The sequence below is a fragment of the Homo sapiens genome, chromosome 12, assembly GCF_000001405.40.
Source record: "Homo sapiens chromosome 12, GRCh38.p14 Primary Assembly".
NCBI lineage: Eukaryota > Metazoa > Chordata > Mammalia > Primates > Hominidae > Homo > Homo sapiens.
In genome coordinates, this window is record NC_000012.12 from 67,472,860 (window position 1) to 67,497,358 (window position 24,499).

The 24,499-nt window shown below is 40.7% G+C and overlaps 1 long non-coding RNA gene across 1 annotated transcript in view, besides 3 other annotated features; it reads left to right on the forward strand.

Annotated features, from left to right (window-relative positions):
• LOC105369812 (uncharacterized) overlaps positions 1-7,835 on the forward strand; it is an 86,311-nt gene extending 78,476 nt beyond the window's left edge. The window contains exon 5 of the long non-coding RNA XR_001749186.2: positions 5,258-7,835. This is a non-coding gene — a long non-coding RNA (uncharacterized LOC105369812). The remainder of the gene's footprint in view (positions 1-5,257) is intronic.
• Positions 10,936-10,985: an enhancer, noted in NCBI's record as "active region_6625". NCBI's record gives its function as "activates an Ori minimal core promoter by ATAC-STARR-seq in GM12878 lymphoblastoid cells {active_cell/tissue: GM12878}" and the evidence as "EXISTENCE:reporter gene assay evidence [ECO:0000049][PMID:35858748]".
• Positions 11,546-11,595: an enhancer, noted in NCBI's record as "active region_6626". NCBI's record gives its function as "activates an Ori minimal core promoter by ATAC-STARR-seq in GM12878 lymphoblastoid cells {active_cell/tissue: GM12878}" and the evidence as "EXISTENCE:reporter gene assay evidence [ECO:0000049][PMID:35858748]".
• Positions 11,816-11,995: an enhancer, noted in NCBI's record as "active region_6627". NCBI's record gives its function as "activates an Ori minimal core promoter by ATAC-STARR-seq in GM12878 lymphoblastoid cells {active_cell/tissue: GM12878}" and the evidence as "EXISTENCE:reporter gene assay evidence [ECO:0000049][PMID:35858748]".

Genomic DNA, 24,499 nt, shown 5'->3' on the forward strand with positions numbered 1-24,499 from the left:
GTGCTGAGCACCTTTTCTGTATCCTGTCCCTTGAATTAGAACCCCAGGTTTATATCCCAAGTCATCTTTTACCTAAATACACTATTTTTCAAAAAAGAAGAAGAAAGCTACCTTTGAAGGGTTAACATCAATGAATAGTTGGAAACTTGTTAAGAATTTTTTTTCCCTAACACATTTTAAAGTTTAGGAAAACCTAGAAATGCAATGCCTAAAAAAAGCCAGCTTCTCTCTATATTTCTAAATCATTTTTGTATCTTTAAAAAGATGTGTGTGCAATCTTCAGGGAGGAAGGGAAGGAATATATATGCCATTGCTGACTTCCTACTTCTAAAGATAGTACTTTAATATCTGTAAATCAGACTCACTACTTTGGTATTATATATCAAAAGACATAGAGTTTCAAAATAATGCAATTCTGGGACCCTCCTCACCTTCCGCTTCTCACCTATTTTTATCTTTCCTAAAGTACAAGGACCTTCAGAATCCTGAAAGGGATTCAGACAATTCAACATTTTTTTCCTGAGGCTAGATTAAAATTTACCTTTGCCTTATCTATATGTAGCAAGTAGAATTTGCTAAACAAAGAAGTAGTATAAACTCATATTCGGGATTATTGCTCCATTTACTTAAGAAAGGGGTTTCATCACCTTTAAAAATATTTTAACATCATTTGAAGGCAAATAATGAGTGAACAAATTACAAAGTATTAGTTCAGACAGGAAAGATATTTTTTAGGGCTTACCTGAAGCACAAAAACTTTTAAAACGATACAGTTTCTCAGTAATTCACAGTAGGCTTCCTTCCATTTATTTCAAATGGATGAAATTTTATTCACCATGAAAATGGTATACTACTGGGAGGAGAATTCCCAATGAGGGTTGAGTCTTGGCTAACTAGTTGGGTTAGCCAGGCAGCATAGTGGAGGTGGATTTGGCATTTGTGTTGTCATTCATTTACTCTAAAAATGTGTGTGTGTATTGTATTTTAGCATCTCTCAGCACTGTGCCACACACTAAAGATAACAGAGGATAAAATCTGTGGGCTTGACCTCACAGAACTTACAGTCAAATGGGGAATAGAGGAGTTATCATCCGGTAAGTGCTTTGACAAGGGAAGAGCAGGATTCTTTGGAAGCGCTTGGATGGAGCCCCTCAAACAGATCTGGAGAAGTGGCGTCTAAGCTGAAACCTGGAGGAGCAGTAGGAGTTGGAGAGGGGAGATATACAAAGGAATGTTTTAGATTACAATGTAGGTGAAACCACAGAGGCAAAGGAGAGCATGGCCAGGAGATGTGAGACAGAGGAAAAGATAGTTCTGTAACTTGGAGCTTCGAGGGCAAAGGTGCTTGTTCTGGCAAGAGAGGAAGCTCTACAGGTACAAAAATGCTGTAAAGCCTGACTTCTTAGAGGTATCCAACACAGTTCAACTCACCTTCTCTCTTGAAGTACGTTCTTTCCCTTTTAGGCTTCCATAACACCACAGTCTCTTTGTTTTCCTCCTACTTCATAGATTACTTCTCAGTCTCCTTTGATGTCTCCTTTTACCTTGCTCAGCCTCTAAATATTAGAGTTCTTTAAGACTTAGTCCTGAGCACTCTTCTCTGCTCTATTTACTGCCTACATACATTTACCAAGTGATTTCATCCAGTCATGTGACTTTAAATAGAATCTAGGCCTATGACCTCCAAATCTCTATCCCCTGCCCTGATCTCTTTCCCCAAATCCAGATTTATGTCTATTTCCTTCCCTGGCCACTCTCTTTAGCTGTTCAATAGGCAACTCAGACACAATACTCAATTAGTTAGAATGCGCTTGGCTGTGAGCAACAGAAAACTTCAACTCAAATGGCTTAAATAGTAAGGTCATTCTTACAGTGTTGTTCCTGACCTAGGTAGTTCGTAGGGATGGTATTGTAGGTGAGAAAAAATTTTTCTTCAAAACTCTTAAGTTTTGTTACTGGGGTCTGCAAATTAAACTGACAAAAGGAAGATTAACAGGAGAAAAAGTTTATTTATGCATGTAATGCTCATACATGCAGGAATGCTCAGTGATGAGTTAGTCAAAGGGATGATTGGAATTTGGGGCTTATACACCTAACTTAGTAGGAGAAAGGAAAGTGGGAGAAAAGGCTTCTATGGAAAGGACAAATACTTTTTTTAAAAGAAAGAAAAATGGGTTTTGGGGAGGACAAATGAGAGAGAAAGGTTTTGCTGATGTTTGTCTATACAGGTCTGAGCCATCTTTCCATCTCCTTCAGGGTCATAAAACCTCCCTGTGGGAAGGGTTTATGATAAGTTTACTCAAGGTCTCTCTCCTGGCACCAGATCCATCCCAATGAGGGAATTTATGGTAGCCTCATTTCCCAGATACAAATTTATTCTTTTAGTCCGATAAGGGAAATTCTGAGAAGGCTTCTTTCTGCATCTGCTGAATTTAAAATGCGTTTGGCTTATAATAATCCTTATGCCAAAGTCACATATTTTGAAGATGGCATATCCTGATCCCTTTCAGTGCTGCATTCTTTTAGTTGAACAAAATTGTACAAAGGGATTTCAGTGTCATGAATTGGGTTTTGGGCTAATTCTGAAATGGTGAATCACTGAAGGGCCTAGGTTAATATGATTCTTCTTAGCTCTGACCTAACCTCCCTTTATAATTCTATTCACCATAGGAGTCAAATTAAAGTCAAGAGATATTTTTGACCTATTGTAGTGCCTATTGTAGTATAGATCGTATATATTTTGATGTATTATAATGCCTACCATGGGCTAATTCTTGTGGTGAACTTCAGATCTGTGGTGTTAATTGATAGCATAAATAGTCCCCTTTAATGGCCTCTGTATCCCTGCCTTTCCCCTGAAACTTTTTTGTTCCTGCCAAGTTTGACCTTGAACTCGTTTATGAGACTTGCTTAGGCCAATGGAGTGTCAGCAAATGTGACACAACCAGAGGCTTTAAAAGTGATTGTTTATTAAGAACAAACCTAGGCTAGCTTGCCAGAGGAGAGGGGACCACATGGGGCAGAGATGAGCTGTCCCAAATGAGGCCATTCTAGATGAGGTGGCCTCCAGACAGTTGCCCAGCTAACCGCAAATGCATGAGCATGCCCAGCCAAGACCAGTTCAGTCTAGTCCAAGTCAGCAGAACTGCCTAGCTGATCTGTAGACCCATCATAAATAATAAATAGTAGTTAACTTAAGTCACTAGTATTGGGGTGGATTGTTATGTAATAGAAGCTAAAATACATGTGGAAAATTCCTAACTTTTTTGAATGGAGAGGATGAGAGAACACCTTAACAGAGGAGCTTATAGGAGTAGGGTTACTTCAAACTGTATCTTTCAGGTGTGGAATTTTTTATTCTGGGATTTCTCAAGATAGAAAAATTCTCAACTGGGCATGCTTCTCACAAAACATGCTGTCATACCTTGGCTGAGTAAGATGGTAACTCTAAATTGGTTCTGCTAATAGGCCATCCTCCCTTGACATGCAAAATTATATCATGGTAAGCGTCTCCTCTCTATGTGCAGAAGGTTGTGGTGCAACAGCGCTGGAAGAAGGCTGGTTACTGGACAGAGACCTGTGGAAGCTGTTAAGAGGTAGCACAGTGCTGTCTCATGAGCACAGGAGATGCAATCCCTAAGTAGGAACCATCACAGCAGTATATGGAATGGTCCCTGTGGAGATGAATTTCCAGCAAATTATTTAGCACTAGCTCTTTAAATCCTCTGAGGTCATGACAAGCCTCTGGCCAGTTTCACACAATGGCTGGTCACTTCTCTCAGGCTACAGTGATGCTCTTCACTTGCCAAAGGATTGCTACCAACCTCTAATTGCCTGCTAATCTTTATCCTTCATTTCCTCCACTCAACGGATGCTATCAAACTTGCAGTTTCACATTCAGCTTGCTGTCCTTTGTTGTGCCTTTGCAGAAGGTCTGGCACCATCACTTAGACACTTCTTGACACACTTTTATGTCAGAAAGAGAAGCTGCAAGGAAAAAACAACATGCATGACCACATGTGCTCAATTCAGCTCTCATTGGTCAGTAGTGGCTGCTACACAGTGTGGCTACGCTTGCTGGCAGAGGGATCTGCTGGGCTGGCTCTCAGGGAATGAGAGGATATGATTGTTCCAAGTATGTATTGATAATAGAATACAATGTATCATTTAATAAGATAAATACAGTTGGTCTTAAACCTGCAGATATGGAGGGCCTTGAGCTTCTGCAGATTTTGGTATCTGCACAGGGTCCTGGAACTGGTCCCCTGCAGATACTAAGGGGAGAATGTACTTCAAATTATAGTAAAGCTATAAAAATTGTAGCTTACTGATTAAGCACATAGACTTTAGAATCAGACAGGCCTGGGTGCAAATTAAGATTTATGATTTACTAATGCTCTCATTGTGAGCTTGTTACTTAACCTCTTATGCCACTGTGCAATGAAGACAGTAATTCCCACTTCCTAGGGATCTTGCAAGGATTAAATGAGACATAGCACGTAAAATGCCTAGCACAGTACTTAATACCTAGTAAGCACTCTGTAATTATAGGTGATGATAATAATGATGATTACCTAAGATAATTTTCTCCCAAATATATTCTACCCAACAATGGTGTATTTGGAAATATTAATAGGTGTACTGTGAAATAAAGGTTTCAGAGGTCACAGAGAACATCAATATGTAGTGAAGAAACTAGTTGAATTTTATTTAACCCAGTTTTTCCCACATTGATTTGAAGACAGAACCTTTTTTTTTCTTGGAAGGCCTATTGACATCTGTGGGACAGCAGTGTCCTCCCAGACCCCTGTTTGGACAATGCTGGCTCATGAAAATAATTTTCAGTTGTTTGACTATTGAAAAATCCCTCACCAGAAAGCAAAATGAGAATTGAATATAAAGAAGCATTACGTGTAAAAACCTGGCCTCCGTGGGTATGGGAGCAATGTTGCAGTTGGCTTGCAGCCTTTCTGGAGTCTCGGAACACAGGAGATCGTCATCTCAGCCATCTGCTGTGAAGGGGCAGCATGTCGTGCAGTGGGACAGAGTCAGAATTGGCTGTTCCATCTGCCAGCATCACTTTGAAACAGAAGCCACAGAGGGCTTTTTCTCAGTGACAGCTCAGTCCCCTGAAGACAAGCCCTGAACTCTGGACTGTCCTCACTAAGACCACCCAAGGCCAAAACTGGACTTTTTCTTCAGCCAGAAGTGGCCACACATGTTTTTTGATTTTTGTTTGTTTGAATTTGTTTTGTAGGCAACCACATGAAGCACAGACCCAGGAGGCCTAAGCTGGCCTCGGTGTAGGAGAAGCCGGGCACAGGGATGTTTTTGAAGAAGAAAGTGACCACTTGTCAAAGAATTCAGGATTGATTCCTAACGCAGAGTGACTCATCAAGAGACCCAGGTTCTATTGGCCACCCCTCTTCAGCTGGTTATTCAGGCTAGGGAAACTGTTTTTGTTTTTTAAGGGAAAGTTTATAGAAAGTGAGAGAAGGTAGATACGAGATTCAAAAGACAAAGTAGAAAGAAATGTGTGTTCTTTAAGGTAAGAGCAGGTACTTTTTAAGCATAATATTGAATTAACATTTGGTGTAATATTGAATTTATATAGTGTCAATGTTGAATTGATGAAGGGAAATCTGCAAGTGAAAGAGACACCAAACTGCTTTTGTGATCGGATAGTTTGTATATCTTGCTACTGAGAATATGTTTAATCCTATGCTTCATAAATAGCTACATGGCACAGAGAAAGATGGAATACTTACCAATTCACTTACGAAGTGAGCAAAACTAAAACCATCATATAACATTTTAACAAAAACCATCAAACAAACTCTCCACCAAAACGAATAAAAACAAAACTCTTCAGATGCAACTGACACTGACTTGGGAAGACAAATTTAAAATGAGTGGAAATACTATGAAATTAAATTCTTAATACCTTACATTAAATTAAATAATTAAATTGAAATCTTAAAGACTATAATCAGACCATGTAAGGTTTACCATAGAAATGTAAGGAATGGTTTATTAATGGGAAATCTATAAAGAAAAAATTATATAATCATCTTAGCAGATGATACCCACTTGTGATTTAAAATATTGTAAAGTAGGAAAAGAGAGTAGTTCCTTAACAGTACTTATACAAATAGTCACTGGAGACATACTGTAGTAGAGTGTTCCCATTAGAACTGGAAATACGATAACAATATATTACCTTCAGTATTTACAATTATTTAATAGTATTGTCTTCACTTTTAAATATTTTCCTGGAAGTTGTAGCCATTGAAATAAGATAGGAAACAAACAAAAGACAGTGTGATAATTAATTTTAGGTGTCAACTTGGCTGGGCTATGGAGCTGAGATGTTTGGTCAAACACCAGTGTAGATGTTGCTCTGAAAATATTTTTTAGATATTAATTTAAATTAGTAGACTTTGAGGAAAACAGATTATCCCTCATAATGTGGGTGGGTTTCAGCCAATCAGGCTTTAAGAGAAAAGACCTAGTTCCCTTGAGGGAGAAGAAATTCTGCCTCCACACTGCCTTTGGACTTGAGACTGCAACATCAGCTCCTTCCTGGGTCTCTAGCCTGCTGGCCTGTCCTGCATATGTTGAATTTTCCAGCTCCAGAATTATGTGAGCCAATTTCTTAAAATACAGTCTCTGTACACACACACACACACACACACACACACACACACACACACACACACACACACAGCCCCTATTGGTTCTGTTTTTCTCTGGAGAACTCTAATACATACAGCAACAACAGCTAACACCTATTGAATGCTTTCTATGTGCCAGGCAATGTTTTGAGGGCTATACATGTATGTATTAACTCATTTAATCCTCACAATAACCCTAAAAAGTAGTGCTGTTTTTGTCCTTATTAAAAACTAATTAGAATGAAATATTCTGAGGATTCGTAAGAATATCTGGGCAAATTAAAGGAGAAGAACCAAAAGCCTCCAGTTTCTACCCCATACCCTTTTACTTTTAGGCAGCAACTCCAACTGTCTCATTCTGGCTAAGGTTTACCAGTACTCTGGGACCTTGCATTGGTGATGAAATTAATCCTGCTATCCTGGTGGTAGTCAGTTGAGTTGGACACAGGCTGGGAAGCAATCATATTCAGGAACTTCTGTAGAGATTGAACTTGTACTCTGATGATGCTGTATTAGTTTCCTATTGCGTTTGTAACAAATTACAGTACCACAAACTTAGAGGCTTACCATTCTGGAGGTCAGACGTCCTAAAACCGAGGTGTCAGCAGGGCTGAGTTTTAGGGAAGAGTGTTTCCTTCCAGCTTCCAAAGGCTACCTATACTCCTCGGCCCATAGCCCTTTCTCCACCTTGAAAGTGAGTAGTAGGCCATCTTCAAATTTCTCTGACCTCGGCTTTCATTGTCCATGACCTCTCTGATTCTGACCCTCTTCCTTCCCTGTTATAAGAGCCATTATGATGACTTTGAACTCACCTGGATATTCCACAATTATCTCTCTTCTCAAGATCTATAACTTAATCACATCTGCAAACTTCCTTTTGCCAGGGAAGGTAATGTATTCACAGGTTTCAGGGATTAGCCTCTGGACATCTTTGGAGGGATCATTATTCTGTCTATCATACATACCACGCATAGGTGAAAGACCCCAGCATCTCTTTCCTATGGAGAAGTATGCATGTAATGGATCAAAAAAATAAAAATGAAAAATAAAAAATAAAAAAAGCTGGCTTCTCAAACTCATATTATTATCCTGAAAAATATGTCAACTTTCAGTGTTTTCCTGTTCCTGGTTTTCTGGGGGCAAACCTGCAGCACAACCCAGTTTTAGAAAACTGTACCACTGGAAAGGAGAATTTTCTTACAACCCTGCCTTCTACCCTTTCCATATATGCATAATGTAGCAAAACTAGGAAGAAACATAGATCCATATTATTCTCATCTGGTTGCAGGGAAGTCTATGTCTAATACAGAAACAAAAGACAAATTCACAGTGGACAAGATCAATAGCTATGGCCTACCTAAAAGTTCAAAACTCTGTAGAACTTTAAAAAACAGAAACAAAATTAAAAGACAAACAACAAAGTAGAAAACTACTTACAAAATATATAACAAATGGTTAATATATTTAATCCATAGGAAAGTTATAAATTAATAGGAGGAAAACACTCCCAAGGCAGCATGGGCAAAAGAAACAGATACTTCACAAAGGAAAATACCAAGTGGCTTATATATACAGGAAAATACTTAACCTCATAAGCAGAAAGGGAATGTAAACAAAAATAACCTGACAAATGTAAAAACACATAATGACCAATGCTGGTGAAGATGTGGTGAAGCTTTTCAGGCTCCTTCCTGATTGCTGATAAGAGCATGAATGGGTACAACATTTCTGGGGTCCCATTTGACGATATGTATTAAAAGCTTACACACCCTATGACCCAGAAATTTCACTTACAGACATTTATTTGAAGGAAATAATCAGAAGACTATGCAAAAATCGGGCTGCAAGGATTTTTCACATAGTCTGCATATTTAAAACATACATGTGTATATAAGAACAAAAGAAAGAATCTAAATGTCTGAAGGAAAGATTGGTTAACTTTATTATAATCAGCTGTAAAATAGAATTATACAGTCCTTCAAAATGAGAATTTTATCCATTCAATCTTATTTATTACCTGATTTTATATTTACTGCTTTCTTTCACTAAAAACAAGGGCAGGAACTCGTTCTTTAACTGCTGTGCTCTGGAGGACTGAATGTATGGCATGATACAAACCATATTTTTCAAATAACATAACAACATGTGAATCATCTACAATTTAAAAAGAAACAATATCAAGATAGAAAAATTGTGGAGAGTAAGATGCAAAAGTAAAAGGGATTAGAAGGAAACACATCAAAATATTTATACAGATTATCTCTGGACGTTGAGATTGAAGATGATTTAATATTTTTTCATGGTATGTTTTACAGTTCCCAAATTCACCATAATGACCATTAATTTCACAGTTTGAAAATATTTAATGAATAAATACAATTTTAAAAGAAGAGTAATAGTGCCTTCTGTCAAAATCACAACTTTTTCTCCTGCACTTTTAGTAGGGGCTACTCAAAGTGAGATCTATGGACCAATGGAACCTTGGAACTTGGGTGAAATACAGAATCACAACCCACTATTAAGTCAGAATTTGAATTTTATCAAGATGCCTAGATAATTCATTTATACATTAACATTTGAGAATGTTTTAGGTTATTTGCAACTGATCATGTCATAACTGTATTGAGTTTGCTAATTACTATCAAGATGTAGTATTCAGCATTCTGTACAAATGAGTTAATATAATTTTAAATATCTTTGTGGCATTGAAATAACTTCCACACAATTTCAGTAAACTGCCTCATCATTTGGATGCAAATAATTCAGAAACACTAGGGTGAAACCTGCCCTGATATTTGCCTGTGCCCTAGCCCTTGCTGCTGGCTGTTTTAACCTCTGATTCAGTGGCTGTGAAGACACCCTGCCCTGTTTCCCTCACCCCACTGCCTCCATTAACTCATCCTTGCATTAACTACCAATGTTGCTTTTGCTCACCTGCTCATCACGTGGATCTGCTCATCCACGTGGATCCACGTGGATCCTGTTCCATATAGTCAAATACACTGTCACTTCTGAGATTACTCAGAGATTTTTAAAAGCCTATTGATCACTTGGTGTTAGGTAGACAACAGTTGCTTTTCAGAGCAAAAAAATTTTCAGAGATTTATTTATTTCAATTATTGAACATTTGCCAGATAATTGATTCATAGGACAGTCCATGACCTTGAAGACCTCTTAATAAAATGGCAAGGGTGAGAGGGATGGGAGGCAGGCAACGTGTAGAAATATCACACAGTGAGCAGATGGGATATGTGCCTTTGACAAAACACAAGAAGGGAGCAATCATAGTGCCCAGGGAAAGCCAGGAAGGATTTGGGGAGAAGTGAAATTCTTCTGTCACCTTCTAACTCCTACTCAGATGAAGTTACTGCCATAGCAGATACATCTGTAGGCTGTACACATATCACTTTTGTCATCTTCCCTGGCAGACTGATAGTTCAATGATGGCACAGAGCACATCTCTCAGGCTCACAAAGGGAGTGCTTAATCTATCTATATTCGTTCAGTGAAGGGATCTGATCTGAATCTTAGAGAGAGAGTTGGACTTGGCCTTGAGGATGGGTGGATGTTCCTTGGGGCAGAGGATGTAGCCTGCACCAAGGCAAGAGGAATAGAACACCACAGTGTGCTTTAATTGGCATCAGCACACCGTCTCCAAACTGCCTATCAGTGGATCAGGGAGATATTTCCATTTTGAAAAGGCCTGTCTGCCAAACTTGGGGGCTACAGAGAATAAAACCTTTTGACCAGCTACCGGTGACAGATTTAAAGTTAAACCACCAGCCACAGGCACATATCAGAATATGGTTCCCCCTTTCAAAGGAAGGGCTGTGATTATGCAAGCCTGCCCAGGAATCCCCAGCCTGTGCTTTATTTATGGCTGGCCCCTTCAAAGCAGAGTGCAAACGTGCTCGGAATGAGCAGGCAGGCAGCACAGCTTTGCAGCCTGGGTACCTAGAGCTTCTAGAAAAGGAAGCAGAGTTGGAGGGCTGCCAAGCCAGTAAGCTGTCTGCAGCATGACCAGGAAGAGGAGAAGCTTGGCTTTTTTGTCTTCAGTGCCTCCTCATCATTTTCTCAATATCCTGTAGCATTTGAACAGGCTGCTGTTGGTTTTCGGCAGGGTGATGTGCATGGTGACATTTGTATTAGTGGCTTCCTGATGACTGCCTTTTGTTTACCAAACCATAACAAAAGGTGGAGCTACTCCAGAAAATTGAAAGTCTATGGGTACCAAGGGCAAAAACCCCATCAAATTTGGGATGCGTGTCCTTTGGCTGCTGGAAAGGGGCCTGTAACATAGCCCTTGGTCACCCACTTGCCCTGTGCTTGGGGCACTGTGCAGGTTTGGCTGGCAGAAGGGCTCTCCCTGTCAGTAAATACTGTGCTATAGGACACAGAAGCTGGAGGTGAGCAGGCCAAAGGGATGCCTGGAGGATCCTGAAATGCTGGTTTTAGAAACCTGCTTCTTAGTGAAGGTAGCCACTCCCTGGGGCTGTATCACCCTGCCCTGCAGCTCTTGAGGCATTGCCGGGCATGCACTCCATGTCACCCGAGAGAAGTTACACCTTCAGGTTCAGTAGAGGCCACTGCCCCAGAAGAAGGGTGTGGAAAGAATATTTGAGATGTGAGACTCTGAGCTGAACTCAGTATGACCTTGCATAGCCGTTTGCTTCAGTCCCAAACCAGCTTCCTTTAACCTCTAGTGAAAATGTTTCCCACATGTGTCAAGTAAGGCTTATCAGCAAAATCTGATGGGACTAAGATGTATAGGAACCAAGGTAGGGAGGAAGAACTTTCTCAATGACTCTTCACCCAGAGCAGAAACTACCTTTTCTCATTTCTCTTTAGTACACTGGAGTGGTTTGACTGTTCAAATATTTTTGGAGCTTGGCTCCAAAAATGCAGTCCCTGACCACAGGGAGCTGAATACAAAGGCTCCCTCTTAGAGAACATGTTTTATGTCCTCCTGAATGCTTTCACATATCTATAGTCCCCATGAAAAGACACAGCCCATCTTGTGAGGTGCCTGAGGTCCATGCTAGTTTCCTTTGATGCATGCAGACATGAAGGAAGCTAACAAGGGTCTTCCGTGCAAGGGACCCAGGACTCTGGACTCTGGGGCCTACTGCAGCACCATGGACACTTGTCTTCACCCCTTCATCACAGGCCTGCAATGGTACTGTCTCTGGTGGAGGAATAGACAGCCTAGTTTGGCAAATTTACTTTCTTCTACCTCTGAGACTTGTAACTCAGGCTTTTTGTGAGATCTTCAGTGCAATATCTTTCTTGGTTTAGTCTAAATATAGTTTTCAGTAGGCAGGAGAATAATGCTTAGAAAGCATACAACTTGCTGATGTCAGGGGGAGAGAGATCTATTTCTATTATATCAGGGCTCCCCAACCCCCGGGCCACAGACCTGTACTGGTCCATGGCCTGTTAGAAACCTGGCCATACAGCAGGAAGTGAGCAGCAGGTGAGCAAGCATTACTGCCTGAGTTTCCTGTCAGATCAGCAGCAGCATTAGATTCTCATAGGCATGCAAACCCTGTTGTGAACTATGCATGTGAGGGATCTAGGTTGCATGCTCCTTTTGAGAATCTAATAAGGCCTGATGATCTGAGGTGGAACAGTTTTACCCCAAAACCACCAACCTCCTTGATCTGTGGAAAAACTGTCTCCCATGAAACTGGTCCCTGGTGCCAAAAAAGATCGCGGGCCACTGTATCATGCCATATAATTCAGCTTTTATATGACTCATATTTGTTTATTCAACTGTCATTGTCCTAATTCTCATCTGCATACTGCCTGAAGTAGTTAATCTTTGGGTCTACAATAGCTGCCTTCTTGGCAATTCTGCCAACATATTCCTCGAATAATCCTATATTCACCAGCCTCCAGTGGAAGACATCAAGGCTCTGAACAGAGCTCCAGAAAAAGGAAATGTCTGCATTCTAGGAAGGGCATACTTCAAGAGGGGCTACTTTTCCTAATTTGCACAAAAGCCCCCAGAGGGCTAATGATGTCTCTGGGAGAAACAGAACTCTGGCAGGTTATTTAGATACATTATCCCTTTTTTTCTGAGCATGGAGTTTTGGGAAGGCCATTCTCTCCCCAAGCCTTTGCCACTTTTAACTATTAAAAGATTGTAAACATTCCAGGCCGGGCACAGTGACTCATGCCTGTAATCCCAGCACTTTGGGAGACTGAGGCAGGAGGATCATCTGAGGCCAGGAGTTTGAGACCAACCTGGCCAACATGGCCAGTTCTCTACTAAAAATACAAAAAATTAGCCAGGCGTGGTGGCAGGTGCCTGTAATCTCAGCAACTCGGAAGGCTAAGGCAGGAGAATAGCTTGAACCCGGGAGGCAGAGGTATATATATATGTACATATATGTACTTATATTAGTACTTGTATATGTACTAGTATATATATAAAATAAGCATTCCAAACAGTTTTGAAAAAATTCAGTAATTCTACTTATTCTTGTGTATTCTGTAGTTCCTGTTCATATATAATTTATAAATCATATCAGAATGTGCTCTCAATTTTCTATGCTACCTTTTTTGCTGAAACTTATGCCATAAACACTTCACATTTCTAGTGGTTTCTGTTTTTCATAAGAATTGTGATAGTGCATAACTTCCTCTGAGGAAATGGATGACAACTCGTTTAATTATTCCTGTATTCCTGGACTTTTGATGTTGCTTGTGGTGTTTTGCCTTCATAGATAGCACATCCGTGAGCATCTCTGTGTCCACAGCTGCCCTTCTTTTGTACAGCTGGCCCTTGAACAACACGGATTTGAACTGCACAGGTTCACTTATTTGTGAATTTTCTTCAGTTTCCGGCACCCTAGACAGCAAAACCTCCTGCTCTTCTTCCTCCTCAGCCTACTTAATCTGAAGAAGACAGGGATGAAAAGCTTTATGATGATCCACTTCTACTTAAGGAATAGTAAATATATTTTCTCAACAGCATTTACTTGCTAGCTTACTGTATTGTAAGGATACAGTATATACTACTCATAGCATAAAAATATGTACTAATTAACTGTTTATATTATTGGTAAGACTTCCAATCAACAGTGTGCTATTAGTAGTTAAGTTTTTGAGGAGTCAAGAGTTATACGTTGGAGAGCTGGTGAAGATGGTGGACTAGAAGCAGCTACTGTGCCCTGCTCTCATGGAGAGAAATAGAAGGGGCAAATCAATACAACACCTTCATGAAACACTCCTGTACCTGCATTGGGATTCATCAAGAAAACAACTTGACCCATGGAGAATGGAGAAGAGTAAGGCAGGACAATCGCCCACCCAGGAGTGATGTGGAGCCAGGGGAATCTCCCCTGCCCAGGGAAGCAGTGATTGAGTGAGCGACTCCAGGGACCCAGGCTTCTCCCATGGATCTTTTCAATCCTCAGGTCACTCCACCAGGGCCTTCAGTCTGATACAGAGAGCTATGTAGAGTCTTGTCAGAGAAACTACTCAGGCACACTCAAACTTCCAGGGGCTTTAGATACCCACACTTCCCAGCAAAAGCAGCTGCAACTCTGGCAAAGTGGGAGGTTAGACCTCTACATATATCCCTAGGAAAGGGGCTGAATCCAGGGTGCTGAGCAGTGATGGTGTACAGGCCCTGCTTCCACAGATCCTGCTTCCACAGCACCTCACATGATAAGACCCACTGGCTTGGAACTCCAGCCAGCCGCAAGTAGCAATGTTACTCCTCCCCGAAAGGGAACATCCAGAGGGAGGGGTGGCCCACCATCCTTGCTGTTTCACAGTTTTAACCATTGATACCTTTGGGCTCCAGAGAATCCGAGGTGATTAAGGACTGGAGCAGACAACCAGCACAGTGCAGCAGCTCTATCAAGAGGCTGCCAGACTGCTCTTTCACACAGGTACCAGATCTTGTTTCTCTTCACTGGGAAAAATCTCCCAACCAAGGTTTACAACCACCCTGCCAGTGTTTCCCAGCTGTATTAGTCCATTCTCATGCACTATAAAGAATTCCCTGAGACTGGGTAGTTTATAAAGGAAAGCGGTTTAACTGACTCACAGTTCTGCAGGGATGGGGAAACCTCAGGAAACTTACAATCATGGCAGAAAGGGAAGCAAACATGTCCTTCTTCACATGGTGGCAGGAAGGAGTAGTGCTGAGCAAAAGGAGAAAAGCCCTTTATAAAACCATCAGATCTCATGAGAACTCCTTGCTATCACAAGAACAGCATGGAGGTACTCACCCCCATGATTCAATTATGTCCTGCCACGTCCCTCTCATGACACATGGGGTTTATGAGAACTATAATTCAAGATGAGATTTGGGTGAGGACACAGCCAAACCATATAATTCCCCCACTGGCCCCTCCCAAATCTCATGTCTTCACCTTTCAAAACATAGTCACTCCTTTCCAACAGTCCCTCACATTCTTAGCTCATTCCAACATTAACCAAAAAGTCCAAGTCCAAAGTCTCACCTGAGACGAAGCAAGTTCCTTCTGTATATGAGCCTGTAAAATCAAAAGCAAGTTAGTTACTTCCTAGATAAAGTGGGGGAACAGGCATTGGATAAATATACCCTTTCCAAATGGGAGAAATTGGCCAAAATGAAGGGACTACAGGCCCCATGCAAGCCTGGAATCCAGCAGGGCAGTCAAATCTTAAAGCTTTGAAATGGTCTCCTTTGACTCCATGTCTCACATCCAGGTCATGCTGATGCAAAAGGTGGGCTCCCACAGCCTTGGCAGCTCTTCCCCTATAGCTTTGCAGGATTCAGCCCCACTCCCAGCTGCTTTCATGGGCTGGCATTGAGTATCTGCAGCTTTTCCAGGTGCATGGTGCAAGCTGTTGGCGGATCTACCATTCTGGGGTCTGGAGGGCAGTGGCCTTCTTCTCACAGCTCCACTAGGCAGTGCCCCAGTGGAGACTGTGTGTGGCGACTCCAACCCCACATTTCCCTTCCACACTGCCCTAGCAGAGGTTCTCCATGTGGGCTCCAACCCTGCAGCAAACTTCTGCATGGACATCCAGGCATTTCCATACATACTCTGAAATCTAGGTGGATGTTCCCGAACCTCAATTCTTGACTTCTGTGCACCTGCAGGCTCAATACCGTGTGGAAGCTGCATCATCTTGGGGCTTGAATCTCTCCCCAGAAAATGGGTTTTTCTTTTCTATTGCATCATCAGGCTGCACATTTTCCAAACTTTTATGCTCTGCTTCATCTTTTTTTTTTTTTTTTTTTTTTTTTTTGGCAGAGTCTCATCCTGTCACCACCCAGGCTTGAGTGCAGTGGTGTGATCTCATTGCAACCTCCCAGGTTCAAAGGTTCAATCAATTCTTGTGCCTCAGCCTCCCAAGAAGCAGGGATTACAGGCACGTGCCACCACGCCTGGCTAATTTTTGTATTTTTAGTAGAGACCTAGTTTTGCCATGTTGACCAGGCTGGTCTTGAACTCCTGACCTCAAGTGATCCACCCGCGTTGGCCTCCCAAGGTGCTGGGATTACAGGCATGAGCCACTGTGCACAGCCAGCCTGCTTCATCTTGAATGCTTTGCTGCTCAGAAATTTCTTCTGCCAGTTACCCTAAACAATTTATCTCAAGTTCAAAGTTCCACACGTCTCTAGGGCAGGGACAAAATGTCACCAGTCTCTTTGCTAAATCATAACAACAGTTACCTTTGCTCCAGTTCCCAACAAGTTCCTCATCTCCATCTCAGGCCACTTCAGCCTGGACTTTTATTGTCCATATCACTGTCAGCATTTTGGTCAAAGCCATTCAACAAGTCTCCAGGAAGTTGTAAACTTTCCTACATCTTCCTGTCTTCTGAGCCCTCCAAGTCTGTAGGAAGTTCCAAGCTTTCCCACATTTTTCTGTCTTCTTCTGAGCCCTCCAAACTGTTCCAACCTCTGTCTGTTACCCAGTTCCAAAGTTGCTTCCACATTTTTGAGTATCTTTATAGCAGCACCCCACTCTCTGTGGTACTAATTCACTATATTAGTCTGTTGTCACACTGTTATAAAGAACTGCCCAAGATTGAGTAGATTATAAAGAAAAGAGGTTTAATTGACTAATAGTTCTGCAGGTATGGGGAAACCTCAGGAACTTACGTTCATGGCAGAAGGGGAAACAAACATGTCCTTCTTCACATGGTGGCAGGAAGGAGAAGTGTCAAGCAAAAGGGGGAGAAGCCTCATATAAAAATATCAGATGTCATAAGAACTCCCTCACTATCATGAGAATAGCATGGAGGTAATTGCCCCCATGATTCAATTACCTCTCACTGGGTCGCTCCCCGACATGTGGGGATTATGGGAATGACAATACAAGATGAGACTTGGGTAGCGACACTGCCAAACCATATCACCAGCTAACAGCAGTTCCAAACCTCCCTGGGATGGAGCTCCCAGAGGGAGGGGTGGACTGCCATCTTTGCTGTTTTGAAGGCTTAGCCATTGTTGCCTTTGGGCTTTGGAGGGTCTGAGGTAACTGGGGGTTGGAGCAGACCCCCGGCATAGCACAGCTGCTCTACAGTGTACAGATTGCTTTTTAATGCAGGCCCCTGATCCTACTTCTCCTCACTGGGTGGGACCTTCTAACTGGGGTCCCCAGCCACTCCCACCAGTGTGTTTGGCATGGCAATGGGGCTGTACCTTCCTGGGATGGAGGAGCAGGCTGCCATCTTGCTGTTTTGTAGTCTTCACCACTGATACCTTCAGGTATGGGAAAATTTGAGGTGACTAGGAACTGGAGTGAACCCCCAGCATACTGCAGCAGTCCTATGGAACAGTGGCCAGACTGTTTGTTATGTCAGTCCCTGGTCCCATATCTCATCACTGGGCAGGTCCTTCTGGCCTGGGTCTCCAGCAACCCCCCTGCTGCAACAATTGAGCCTATAGTAGCTCTGTGACTCCCTGGGACAGAGCTCCCAGTGGGAGGGGCAGGTTGCTGTCTTTGTAGTCTCCAGGCTCCAGAGAATCCATGGGACCAAGGGCTGGTCCAGACCCCTAGCACAGAGCACCCACCTCACAGAAAAGTGGCCAGACTTTTCTCTATGCAGGTCCCAGTCCTCAATTCTCCTCACTGGGCAGGGTCACCTGACGTGGAACTCCAGCTCAACCATCCTGCCCATCTTACCACTTCAATCAGAAGCAGCCCAGCAGTTAAAAGTACACTCACAGGTAGAGATGAGGAAGAACCAATACAAGAATGGCAACTCAAATGGCTGGAGAGTCTTATGTCCTTGAAACAGCCAGTCTGGTCCTTCAACACGGGTTCTTAACCAGGCTGGATTGGCTGAAATGACAGAAATAGAATTTGGAATATGGATAGGAATGAAGATCACTGAGATTCAGGAGAATGGCAAAACCCATTCCAAGGAAATAAAGAATCACAACAAAATGATACAGATGTTGACAGATGAAGTGGCCAGTATAAAAAATATCCTAACTGATCTAATAGAGCTGAAAAAACACATAAGATTTCATAATGCAAATGCAAGTATTAACGGCAGAATAGAACAAGCTAAGGAAAGAATCTCAGATCTTGAAGACTGGTTCTCAAATAAGACAGACAAAAATTAAAAAGAATGAAAAGAAACAAAACCTTTGAGAAATGTGGGATTGTAAAGAGGCCAAATTTACGAATCATTGGCATCACTTGAGAGGAAAGGGGAGAAAGCAAACAAGTTGGAAAAGATATTTTGGGGTATGGTCCATGAAAAGTTCCACAACCTTGCTAGAAATGTCAACACTCAAATTCAGGAAATACTGAGAACCACTGCAAGATTCTACATAAGAAGATTATCACCAAGACACTTAATCATCCAATTTTCCAAGGCTGAAATAAAAGAAAGTATGTTAAAGGCAGCTAGAGAGAAAGGGCAGGTTACCTACAAAGGGAATCCCATTAGACTAACAGCAGATGTCTCAGCAGAAATTCTCCAAGCCAGAAGAGATTGGGGGCCAATATTCAACATTCTTAAAGAAAAAATATCTTCAACCAATAATTTCATATCTAGCCAAACTAAGCTTCCTAAGTGAAGGAGAAATAAGATTATTTCAGATAAGAAAATGCTGAGGGAATTCATTACCACCAGACTTGCCTTATAAGAGATCTTGAAAGGAGCACTAAATATGGAAAGAAAAGACTGTTACGAGCCAATACAAACACCACACTGAAGTACACAGACCAGTGACAATATAAAGCAACCACACAAACAAGCCAGCATAATACCCAGCTAAAAATGCAATTACAGGGTCAAATCAATACCTATCATTACTAACATTGAATGTAATGTGCTAAATGCCCCATTTGAAAGGGACGGAGTGGCAAGCTGGATAAAAAAGAAAGACCCAATAGTATGCTGTCTTCAAGAGACCCATCTCACATGCAGTGACACCCATAGGCTCAAAATAAAAGGGTAGAGGAAAATCTGCCAAGCAAATGGAAATCAGAAAAAAAGCAGGGGTTATAATCCTAATTTCAGACAAGCAGACTTTAAGCCAACAATGACTAAAAAAAGACAAAGAAAGGCATTACATAATGGTAAAAGGTTCAATTTAACAAGAAGACCTGACTATTCTAAACATACATGCACTCAACACAGGAGCACCAGATTCATAAAGCAAGTTCTTAGAGACCTACAAAGAGACTGAGACTCCCACACAGTAATAGTGGGAGACTTTAACACTCCACTGACAGTATTAGACAGATCATCAAGGCAGAAAATTAACAAAGATGTTCAGTACCTGAACTCAACATTGGACTAAATAGATCTAATAGACCTCTACAGAACTCTTCACCCCAAAGCAGCAGAATATACATTCTTCTCATTGCTGTATGTCACATACTATAAAATCCACCACACAATTGAACATAAAACAATCCTCAGCAAATGCAAAATAACTGATATCATACCAAACACACCCTTGGACCGCAATGCAATAAAAATAGAAATCAAGACTAAAAAAATGTCTCAAAGTCATGTAATTACAAGGAAATTAAGCAGTCTGCTCCTTAATGACTTTTGGGTAAATAATGAAATTAAGGCAGAAATCAAGAAGTTCTTTGAAACTAATAAGAACAAAGATACAACATACCAGAATCTCTGGGACACAGCTAAGGCAGTGGTAAAAGAGAAATTTATAGCACTAAATGCCCACATCAAAAAGTTAGAAAGACCTGAATTTAACAACCTAACATCACAACTAAAAGAACTAGAGGAGCAAGAGCAAACCAACCCCGATCTAGCAGAAGACAAGAAGTAACCAAAATCAGAGCTGAACTGAAGGATAGTGAGACATGAAAACCTTTCAAAAGATTGACAAATCTAGAAATTGATTTTTTGAAAAAATTGATGATTGGTAGGTCACTAGCTAGATTAATAAAGAAGAAAATAGAGAAGATCCAAATAAACACAATCAGAAATGACAAAGAGGATGTTACCACTGACCACACAAAATACAAATAACCATCACAGACTACTATGAAGACCCCTATGCACACAAACTAGAAAATTTGGAAATGATAAATAAATTCCTGGACACATACACCCTCCCAAGATGGAACCAGGAATAAATTGATTCCCTGAACAGATCAATAATGAGCTTCAAAATTGAATCAGTAATAAATAGCCTAACAATAAAAAAAAGTCCCAGGACCAGATGGATTCAGAGCCTAATTCGACCAGATGTGCAAAGAAGAGCTGGTACCATTCCTACTAAAACTACTTTTAAAAAGTTGAGGAGGATGGACTCCTCCCCAACTCATTCTGTGAGGCCAGCATCACCCTGATACCAAAACCTGGCAGAGACACAACAAAAAATGAAAACTTCAGGCCAGTATACTTGATGAACATCAATGCAAAAATCCTCAACAAAATACTTGCAAACCAAATCCAGCAGTGCATCAAAAAGCTAATCCACCATGACCAAGTAGGCTTCATCCCTGGGATGCAAGGTTGGTTCAACATATGAAAATCAATAAATGTGATTCATCACATAAACAGAACCAAACACAAAAATCACATAATTATCTCAATAGATACGGAAAAAGCTTTCAATGAAATTCAACATTTCTTGATGTTAAAAACTCTTAATAAACTAGGAACTAAAGGAACATACATTAAAATAGTTAGAGCCATCTATGACAAACCCACAGCCAACATCATAAATAATGGTCAAAAGCTGGAAGCATTCCCCTTGAAAACCAGCACAAGGCAAGGATGCCCTCTCTCATCATTCCTGTTCAACAGAGTATTGGAAGTTCTCGCCAGAGCAATCAGGCAAGGGAAAGAAATAAACGGTCAAATAGGAAGAAAGGAAGTCAAACTACCCCCGTTTGCATATGACATGATTCTATATCTAGAAAAACCCCATAGTTTTGTCTCAAAAGCTCCTTCAGCTGATAAACAACTTCAGCAAAGTTTCAGGATACAAAATCAACATACAAAAATTACTAGCATTCCTATACACCGATAATAGCCAAACCAAAAGCCAAATCAGAAAGGCAATCCCATTCACAATTGCCATAAAAAGAACAAAATACCTAGGAATACAGCTAACCAGGGAGGTGAAAGATCTCAACAATGAGGATCACAAAACACTTCTCAAAGAAATCAGAGATGACTTAAATGGAAAAACATTTCATGCTCATGGATAGGAGGAATCAATATCATAAAAAGCATTTTACAGATTCAATGCTTTTCCTGTCAAACTACTAGTGACATTCTTCACAAAACTAGAAAAAACTATTTTAAAATTCATATGGAACCACAAAACACCCAAATAGCCAAGGTAGTCCTAAGCAAACAGAACAAAGCTGGAGGCATCATGTTACCCGACTTCAAACTATATTACAGGGCTATGGTAGCCAAAATGGTATGGTACTGGTACAAAAACAGACACATAGACCAATGGTACAGAATAGAGAGCCCAGAAACAAGGCCACACACCTACAACCATCTGATCTTTGACAAAGCTGACAAAAACAAGCAATGGGGAAAGGACTCCCTATTCAATAAATGGTGCTGGGATAACTAGTTAACCATATGCAGAAGATTAAAGCTGGACCCCTTCCTTACAAAATAAGGAGCTGGACCCCTTATACAAAAATCAACTCAAGATGGATTAAAGCCTTAAATGTGAAACTATAAAACCCTGGAAGACAACATAGGCGATTCCATTCTAGACATCAGAACTGGCAAAGATTTCATGAGGAAGACACCAAAAGCAATTGCAACAAAAGCAAAAATTGACAACTGGGATATAATTAAGTTTAAGAGCTTCTGCACAGCAAAAGAGAGACTATCAGCAGAGTAAACAGACCACCTACAGAATGGGAGAAAATATTTGCAAACTATGCATGTGACAAAGGTCTAATATCTAGCATCTATAAGTAACTTAAACAAATTTACAAGAGAAAACCAAACAACCCCATTAAAAAGTGGGCAAAGGACATGAACAAATGCTTTTCAAAAGAAGACATACATGCATCTAACAAGTATATGAAACAAAGCTTAATCACTGATCATTAGAGAAATACAAATCAAAACCACAATGAGATACTATCCCATACCAGTCAGAATGGCTATTATTAAAAAGTTAAAAAAATAACAGATGCTGGCAAGGTTGCGGAGAAAAGGGAACACTTATACACTGTTGGTGGGAGTGCAAATTAGTTCAACCATTGTGAAAAGCAGTGTAGTGATTCCTTGAGGAGCTAAAAACAGAACTACTGTTTGACCCAGCAATCCCATTACTGGGTATATACCCAAAGGAATAGAAATCATTCTTTCATAAAGACAAATACAAGTTTATGTCTATTGCAGCACTATTCACAATAGTGAAGACACGGAATCAACTTAAATGCCCATTTAGCAGTGAATAAAGAAAATGTGGTACATATGCACTATGGAATACTATGCATCCATAAAAAAGAACAAGATTATGTCCTCTGCAGGAACATGAATGGACCTGGAGGCCATCATCCTTAGCAAACTAACGCAGGAACAGAGAACCAAATACTGCATAGTCCTACTTATAAGTGGAGCTAAATGATAACACATGGACACAAAGAGAGGAACAACAGACACTGGGGCCTACCAGGGGGTGAAGGGTAGGAGAAGGGAGAGGAGCAGGAAAAATAACTAACTAAAAATAACTTTTAGTTATTATTATAACTAATAAACTAACCAGGTGTAATAACTAGGCTTACACCTGGGTGATGAAATAATCTGTACAACAAACCCCTATGATTTGAGTTTACCTATATAACAAACCTGTACGTGTACCCCTGAACCTAAAATAAAAGTTAAGAAAAAGTTATACATGGTTTGGTGACAGTTACACTTCCAAGGAAAAAAAAAAGTTACATGTAGATCTTCGACTGTGTGGGGGTTATCAACCCTGTATTCAATTGTATTTGAATAAATTCCCAGGAGTGGGATACAGTGTTTACAGCTATACAATATAGCCTTTGATATGTGTTACCATATTGATTTCTTAAAGGATTGTAAGATTTACATCCTGTGGATTCTCTGTGGTTTAATAATTCAAAAGCCAAAGCAGGAGTGATAGTCATAATTTATTAACTAGGTGGGGCTTCAACCCATCTAAACCCAGGCCAGCTAGTCAGCCTGCCTGGCTGCACTGCCTGAATATCGTTGTGACTTAGCAAACTTTCAGTTGCCTCTAAGCCTCCCTTTCCCTCTATTTTCTGTTCTTTCAATCTGTTTTCTTTTTACTCTAGCTCTCTTCTGCTGCTTTAGCAAGATAGTAAAGCAATAGCTGACATTTTATTGAGTATTTACTCTGCCTTCATATATATTAGCCCACTTAACTCTTGCAACAACCCTATCAGGTGGCTTAGTCCCATTTTATAGCCATGAGCACCAAGGCTTGGAAGGCTAAGACACTTGCCCAGGCACACAGAGATGAACCATGACAGAGCTGAGATTCAAACCCAGGCTGTCTAGCTCCACAGGTTTTAGCTAGAAGGCTTCCCAACCTGTGGGGTGTTGGGGTACTGGGGGGTGTGGTAGCACCAGAGAGGGAGAGAGGCTAGAAGCCTAAAGGGGCTGAAGACGTGGTGTTTCAGGTTCTTTTTTGCTCTTTTGTTTCCTGCATTATTAAACTTTTTGATTAGCTTCTCCCAGTGTCATATTTATTTGCAGCTGTTAAACATTAGAAGACTTCAGAGGGGGATTTATTTAAAGCATAGTTATTAAAATGTCTATTTTGATTTAAGGATTTCTTCTGCTTTGTGTTACTCACTTGTCTCATATCTCTTTAATCTATAGTCATTTCTAATAAAGAACATTCAGAACCTACCAGCCAATGCATTTTAAGTGATTCTTGCCAAGTCGCATTGAAGTATATTATCTCTCAGCTGAATTATCACTCAGCTGCATCTCTGTCTTTTTATTGTTCATAAACTCTGCAATGTGTCCATTCAGGTCCATTACAAAGTCATCTATGGATTTGGAGACTATACCTTGTTTATAGTATCCTATATTCTCCTGCCTAGAAGACGTCTCTGATTATTTTCCCCTTTAATGCTCAATTGGTTTTCAATTGAATTTTCACAAACTAGGCTGTAGATGTGGATCTTTGAAGTGGGGATTGATGATGGCTATTTTGGAGAATTTGAGGGTTGGAAGGTCTGTTTCTGGTTGTAAACCCCATAGATCCGTGAAAGAAAATGATAGACCGGATGTTTTCCCCGGATATGTCTCCTGGAAGTTTTCCTCAACAACCTTGGGCATAAAGAGAGAACTATGGGAAGTAAGGAATAGATAGAGTGGGAAATGCCCTATCTTTGTTG